This window comes from Homo sapiens, chromosome 9, assembly GCF_000001405.40.
Source record: "Homo sapiens chromosome 9, GRCh38.p14 Primary Assembly".
NCBI lineage: Eukaryota > Metazoa > Chordata > Mammalia > Primates > Hominidae > Homo > Homo sapiens.
This window is the reverse complement of record NC_000009.12, coordinates 114,112,908-114,120,208: the sequence shown is the minus strand read 5'-3', so window position 1 is coordinate 114,120,208 and position 7,301 is coordinate 114,112,908. Positions and strand designations below refer to the sequence as shown.

The window sequence follows — 7,301 nt, the reverse complement described above, 5'->3', positions numbered from 1 at the left end:
CTCTTCTCTTTTCTTGTACAAATCAAAGAAATGGAAGCCCAGAGAGGTCCACGATTTGCTCAAGGTCACATAGCCAGAGAAGAGCAGAGCCCACATTCTAACCTCGGTCTGTGAGCCCCAAAGCCTGTGCTCATGGCCCTACCTATGCTACACCACTTCTTCTTAAAGGGGATGCTGTCAACTTTTCCCTAAGTCCCCACTGTTCAGGGTCACTCAGCAAGCTCTTGGTAGAGTCTTTTAAAACACGTTTCCATTTAGTTTTTGCATAGATTATTTCCTTTTTGTTTTATGGGACACCCCCCGACCCTCCCCACCCCCCCACCCCCACCCAGCCACCAACTTTTATTTGCAAAGAAAAGCCAGTGTAAATATTCCCTCCCACCCAGGTTAACCCTTGTCTGACAGAGGTGTATTCTGTGCAGCTCTCTGGGGGAAAGGATGAAAGGTCACCCGGGCTTGCCTGGGCTTCCTGCAGGGCCTGTTTGACAGACCCTCGTGATAGTTCACACACACATGTATCTCTGCCGCCTAATGCCATGGGTGGCAGAAACCCCTGATTCTCAATTTACCAGCTTCTTATGACCCTCAGCACAGACCAGCCTTCTAGGGTCCAAGTGTAAAGGAGACAGTCTTCCTGGAGTCTCTACCCTTGCACTGTGGGCTGGAACAGAAAAAGAAGTGCCCTCAGCCACTGTTCCTGGGCCACCCACCGAGGGCCTGGCATAGCACTGGGCACTTCACCAACATCCTCTCACTGAGTCTTCTGGAAAGGAGGGCTTGGTCTCAATGACCCCATTTTACAAATGGTGAAGCTGAGGCTCAGAGAGGCAAAGTCACCTGTCCAAGACCACACAGCTGGCCAGGGGAAAACTAAGCATAAGACACGGTCCTTGCTTATAAGTTGCTTTAAGTCCAGGGCTAAAAGTAAGACACTGTACATGTGAAATGACAAGACAGCCCCTCAGGCCAGGCACTATCTTCAGTGCCGGGAACAATGACCCAACAGGAAACTGGTTGAAGCAAGTCCCAGTTCTGCTACACACTTGCTGAGTGACCTTGAGCTGGTCACTTTCCTTCTCTGAGTCAAACATCTCAGTCTCTTATGCTCTTTCTTATGTAGCATCTGGTAAGAATGTATAAAGTAGGACCTCGTAAGGGCGTGGGAGAAGATGGCTGAGGTTTGTGGAATAGCACAGCATTATGGCTAAGAATTACTACAAAGCCCTCCTCCTACCATATAGAGATCCCCTCCACCAACATCCCAAGAGGCAAATCCCCAGGCAGGAGAGTTAAGGTAGACTGGGTTGGGGGGCTAAGCAGAGGATCTGCAAGCCCTGTGCCAGGCACCAAGGGGAGGAAGGAATGGCACGGGGCATTCCACACCGGTGGACAGGAATTCTCTCTAAGTCGGAACTCCAGCGGCTCCTCACCAGCCCCTCTTCCCAGGCAGCCTTCACCACAAGACCCAGCACCTCCAGTGTCCCCAGCCACAGCCCCCCACAGCACAGGCTCCTCCTGGAGTTGGCTCCAGCTCCAGCAGGCCAGCCATTGAAGGCTCCACCTCACCCCTTTAAATTCTATTTTTTCAAACCACATTCTTGAACTTGGCAGATAACGTGGCAGCCCGACAAGAGCCCTATTTACTCGGAGAGCCGTGAATGGGCCCTTTATAACAAGCTTCATTAATATTTCTACCTATTGGCCAGCTCTCCGTTTCCTCCCCCTATACAAACAGATTCTCCACACAGAAAGACTTTTCAAATGCTCTTGTTGACTTTCCCCAAACAGGGAGGGCAGCTGAGCCGGCAGGGGTGTGTGAGTGTGTGTAAGTGTGTGTGCAGGGGAGGGGGCGGCCGTGGGCTTGCGCCCGCCAAGCCTTATGCAGGAAGGAAAGAGGCCCACTATTCATGGGCAGGGACGGGCAGCTCGGGTGAGTCCAGGTATGCCATGCCTCACAAAGGCATACTCAGCCCAGCCTGCCCCACGAATTCCAGAGCCCTGGCCCGCGGAGGTAGGCCGTCCCTTCTCAGCTCCTGCTGCCTGACCAGTGACCCGAGGCAAGTCCCTGACTTGCTCTAGGCTTCACTGTCTTCTTTTGTCAGTTGAGTCTCTACCTTGCTACTCAAAGTGTGGTCCATGCACCAGTGGTATCACCATCCCCCGAGAGCTTAGGAGAAACATAGAACCTCTACCCAGATTTGTTGTCCCTGAATTTGCATCCTAGTAAGATCCCTGGGTGACTTGTGTGCACTATCGACTTCAAGAAGCATCTGATCCACTCCACATGCCTCCTCCATCACCCCCCTGCCACCACCACTCTAGGGCCCAAAGGCCACAGTGGACCTGACACATCATCGAGAAGGCGGCCACCAAGGCTCTTTTGCTCTCTAGTTCGACACCACAGCCCTGGCCCATGGTTGGGGCTCAGAAAATCAATGAATAAACAGAAAAGTGTATTGTCCAAGTCCACAGCCTTGTGCTAACGACAGCAATTCTTCCTCTTCAGCATTTGAGAACATTGTGAAGAACTGCCCGTTCCATTGTTCTGAAGGTCGTAGAGTCTTGGAAGGGACTTTCTAATATTGCAGTGGATGGGGTGAGCTCCCTGTCTTTTGGAGATATGCAAGCAGAGGCGGGAGGACGTGTGATGGGAAGTTGGAGGAGACACCATGCCCCATGTATAAAGAACGTGCCTTTGGGGCAGAGAAAAAAAATCACTGCAGGGAAGATGGTGTCCTCACTGAGCACACCCACAGGTGAAATGGGGGCCTCTTTAGAGACGGACAGACCCGAGTTTCAATGTTGGTGATGCCTTCTTTAACAATGAGAACATGGACAAGGTGGACAAGAGCCTTCACTTCCCTTCCATCTATTCATTCAATAAATGTTGATTCTATGTGTCAAGCCCTCTGCTGGACCTTGGGGACCTGATAGTTCATAAAATAGATTCTTTATTCCTATGGGGAGAGAGACAAACAAAAATCAATAAAAAATAAATATGGGCAGGGCGCGATGGCTCACACCTGTAATCCCAGAACTTTGGGAGGCCGAGGAGAGGGGATCACAAGGTCAAGAGATCGAGACCATCCTGGCCAACATGGTGAAACCCCATCTCTACTAAAAATACAAAAATTAGCTGGGCGTGGTGGCACGTGTCTGTAATCCCAGCTACTCGGGAGGCTGAGGTAGGAGAATCACTTGATCCCGGGAAGCGGAGGTTTCAGTGAGCTGAGATCACGCCACTGCACTCCTGCCTGGTGACAGAGCAAGATGACTCCATCTCAATAAATAAATAAATAAATAAATAAATAAATAAATAAATAAGAATGCTGAGGAGAAAGTAGAGGAGGGTGACAGAGACAAGGTGTGTGCATGGGAGGTGGGGAAAATTATGAGTGAGGGGAGCTAGGGAAGATGCCACTGAAAGGTGACCTTTTACAGTCAGACCTGAAGACAAAGGAGCCAGTCACGTGAGAAGCCAAAGGAAAGGTACCCCCAGCATAGGGACAGCATGTGCAAAGGTCCTGAGTTAGGAAACACTGGGCGCTTTGAAAGGGAGGCAGCGTGGTGATCGCATTCCACACACAAGTGGGAGAGGAACCGTGGGAGGCGGGAATTTCCACCTTACAGAGCTGCAGAGGATGGATGGCACCCAATCGGTGCTCAGAGCAGGATGTGTTTGCTCTTCACTGACCCACAGGTCCTGATCAGAACTGCTGTCTGTTTCCATCTCCCGAGAACAGCAGGGGCAGTGCCTCAGCCTGGGGGCCACGGCCCAGGGCAGGGCCAAGGAGCTGCAGGGGCTGAATGAGCCGCCTGTGTGCATATTGGCTGCATACTCCTGCCTTTTTGGGGAGGGAGTGGCCTGCCCTCTCCTGGGACACCTGCCCAGCTTCAGCTGGCCTGGGTGGCTTGGACAGGAGTTCCTGACCCCCTGCCCAGTTCTCAGCAGCCAAAGGCCAGACCCTCTTGGGAGCACAGAGCCTGCCAGCCGGCTCACACCCTCCTCCCTCCTCCCTGGCCAGCCCTTAAGTACCAGGCTGGAAATAACCGGTTCTCTCCACCCCTTGGGGCCATGGGCTTGCCCACCCTAGGGGCTGAGGTGGCTGGACAGGGAGTGGCGGTGGGCTGTCCCAAGAGAGACTTCTTGGAGTCTTCGCTGGGAGGCTCCCACCCTTGGGTTAGTAGGGAGGAGTTGGTTCAATCCTGGATTTGCTGCTGCCTCTCCATGAGCCCTTCCAAAGCTGCCTTAGCATTCTGAATCTGGTTTTCCTTATCATTACAGTGGAACCGATCACCCCCTCTGAGGGCTGTTGTGAGAATTAAATAACAGATGTGTGAGCTTTGCAAACCGTGACGTACAATGCACACAGAAGACTTTGTGGTCGGGTCGGACAGTTCACTTTGTATTCGAGGTCATGAAAGGACTGAATTCTAGCATCTGGTCCCAACTTCACCTCTTAGCTAGACCACAGCGTTTCTGAAAATCTCAGTGTCCCCAACTGCAACATCAAGATCCTTGTTCCTACCTCAAAAGGTTATCATTAGAATCCAATTTATTCAAACAGTATGTGTTGAACACCTACTATGTACATTGCTCACAGCATTCTAGACATCTGTAGAGGTAGGCCCCCTTTCCTTCTTTGACTTCAAGTAATTCTTTCCAGAGGACTGAAGAGAAGACAAGGATATACTCTTGAAGGTAGACAAAGGACAAAGGAGAAAGGTTCTAGATCTCAGACTTGGTCCCTGTCGTTAGGTGGCTGGTTGAGGTCTTGGTTCAGTCTTTTACTGTCTCTATGAATTTGGGCAGGTTACTTAGCCTCTGCAAAGCTCAGTTTCCCCATCAATAAAGGAGGGAGGATATTGTGAACCAAAAATAAAATTCTAAGCCCCCTGCCCTCCAACCAGCTGGACTCCCTCCTCTGGGTCAAGGCACTCCAAAGTTCACCTGAAAGACTGGTTCAGGCCATAATGGGAAGCAGAGGTCAGACATGCCTCAGTAGCCCTCCTCCCTTTTGGGATTCAGGAAAAGCTGACCCCTATTTAACATCAACGCAGACCTGAAGTCTGATAAGGAACACTTACAATGTATTCTTTCTGAAGCCTGCTGCCTGGAGGCTTCATCTGCATGATAAAACTTTGGTCTTCACAACCTTTTATCATAACTCAGACATTCCTTTCTATTGATAATAACTCTTTTAACCAATTACCAATCAGAAATTTTTTTATTCTACCTATAAACCTGGGAGCCCCCACATGCACTCTGCTTCAAGTTGTCCCGCCTTTCTAGACTGAACCAATGTATATCTTAAATGTATTTGATTGATGTCTCATGTCTCCCTAAAATGTATAATACTAAGCTGCACTCAACCACCTTGGGCCCGTGTTCTCAGGGCCTCCTGAGTGAGGGCTGTGTCATGGGCCATGGTCACTCTTATTTGGCTCAGAATAAATCTCTTTTTAATAATAATTTTCAATTTCATAATAATTTTTAATAATAAAATAAACATTTTACAGAGTTTGACTCTTTTTGTCAATAATATTACACCACAGATGTCTGTTGCCATGGTTTAAATTGTATCAATTGACACAGGGTGCTTAGCTCAGTCTTTGGCCCATTGTGTGTGATTCATAACGTTTGCTGCTATTAGCAGTAGCTGCAAATAGTATGTAGTCATCATTACGGTAGTAGCAAAGTGGTAGTAGTATAAATAACAAGAGAAGCAATCCTGGTGGCAGTACTGCAGTAGAAATACTGGTGGTAATAGAGTAAGAAGTACTATGTTTTAGACCATTTTCATACTGCTATAAAGAGACTACCTGGGACTGGGTAATTTATAAACAAAAGAGGTTTAATTGACTCACAGTTCCTCATGTCTGGGGAGGACTCCGGATACTTATAATCATGTGGAAGGCGAAAGGGAAGCAAGCACCACCTTCACAAGATGGCAGGAGAGAGGGAGAGTGAGCAAAGGGGAAGTGCCACACTTTAAAACCATCAAATCTCATGAGAACTCACTCACTATCAGGAGAAGAGTGTGGGGGGAACTGCCCCTATTATCCAATCAGCTCCCACCAGGTCCCTCTCTTGACACATGGGGATTACAATTCAAGATGAGATTTGTCGGGGGATGCAGTAGAGGCAGTAGAAGCAATAGTAGTAGAAGTACTGGTTGTGGTGGTCATAGTAAGAAGTGCCAGCAGTAATAGTAGAAGCATTGGCAGGGTCGTAGTAAAGGACTAGAAGGACTACGAGAAGACAGTGGCAGCAATACTAGTAGAGGTCATAGTAGTAGTAGTACCAAAGTGGGCATATGTGCCAAGGGAGGGAGGCAAGACTAAGAGAATCCAGCACCCCTTTAATTCTGGGGAGAAAAGAGAGGGTCCAGTTTCTGAGAACTGGAAAAGAGAGGGGTCTAGGTAGATGGAGCTGGCAAGAAGAAATGAAGGGTACAAAGCCCTAGAAAGTGGTGCTAATCAATCCACCTAAGCCGGATAGGACTCGGTCTTGGGATTGATGAGAGTCTCATCTGGTGTTGGGGGAGGGGGTGGCTGTGTCTCCCCCCAGGGAGGCAGAGGCAGCATTTGCTCTCAGAAATCCCAGGTCCCTGGAGCAGGCAGGGCTTTTGATGCCTCTAGCCCACACTCCTCCTCATGTACCTATGACAACACTGAGGCTCTGGGTGCATGTTGCAGGGTTCTCTTGGGCAACAGAGCAAGGAATAGTGACTCCAGCTTGGGAGACGTGCTTCCCGCTGCTCCGGAGGGACCAACTTTGAGGACTTGGATGCTGGACTTATGTGGAAGTCCCAGCTCCACGTTCCAGCTCCTTAGCTGCCAGAGCGGCAAGTCAGCAGCCGGGGCTGGCACTCATCCAGCCCTGGGAACTTGGTGTCCTCCATGCAGATAAGGCGGGTGGGGCTTCCCAGGAAAAGCCTGAAGGAGGGAGCATCCCCACGTTCTGCTCATCCAGAAGACGGAGTAGAAATCAGTTTTTAGCCAGGACTGTACCCTGGGATTCTGTCCTCTGAAGGCTTGGAGTATGATCCCCCCATTCTTCCCAGCCTTCCACCCCACTAAACTATAGTTCACCCTTCCACTTGTCTCACCTCTGCTGTTCCCTTTTGCCTGAAATGCTTCCCTTCTTCTCCTCTGCCTGTCCCAATTCCTGCCCATCTTTTCAAGCCTGTCCCAATGCCACCTCTTCCAGGAAGCTCTCCTGGACTCTCCATCCCTTGCTTTCTGGTCAGGAGTCTAGTTCCTATCCTGGGCTCCCAGGAAAATTCAGTTCCAGCTGC

At 49.9% G+C, this 7,301-nt stretch overlaps 3 annotated features.

Annotated features, from left to right (window-relative positions):
* Positions 246-540: an enhancer, noted in NCBI's record as "tiled region #2704; HepG2 Activating DNase matched - State 5:Enh". NCBI's record gives its function as "activates a minimal TATA promoter and a strong SV40 promoter by Sharpr-MPRA in HepG2 cells {active_cell/tissue: HepG2}" and the evidence as "EXISTENCE:reporter gene assay evidence [ECO:0000049][PMID:27701403]".
* Positions 6,300-6,800: an enhancer, noted in NCBI's record as "H3K4me1 hESC enhancer chr9:116875689-116876189 (GRCh37/hg19 assembly coordinates)". NCBI's record gives its function as "activates a minimal SCP1, AML or CMV promoter by ChIP-STARR-seq in primed H9 embryonic stem cells {active_cell/tissue: H9 hESC(primed)}" and the evidence as "EXISTENCE:reporter gene assay evidence [ECO:0000049][PMID:30033119]".
* Positions 6,801-7,301: an enhancer, noted in NCBI's record as "H3K4me1 hESC enhancer chr9:116875188-116875688 (GRCh37/hg19 assembly coordinates)". NCBI's record gives its function as "activates a minimal SCP1, AML or CMV promoter by ChIP-STARR-seq in primed H9 embryonic stem cells {active_cell/tissue: H9 hESC(primed)}" and the evidence as "EXISTENCE:reporter gene assay evidence [ECO:0000049][PMID:30033119]".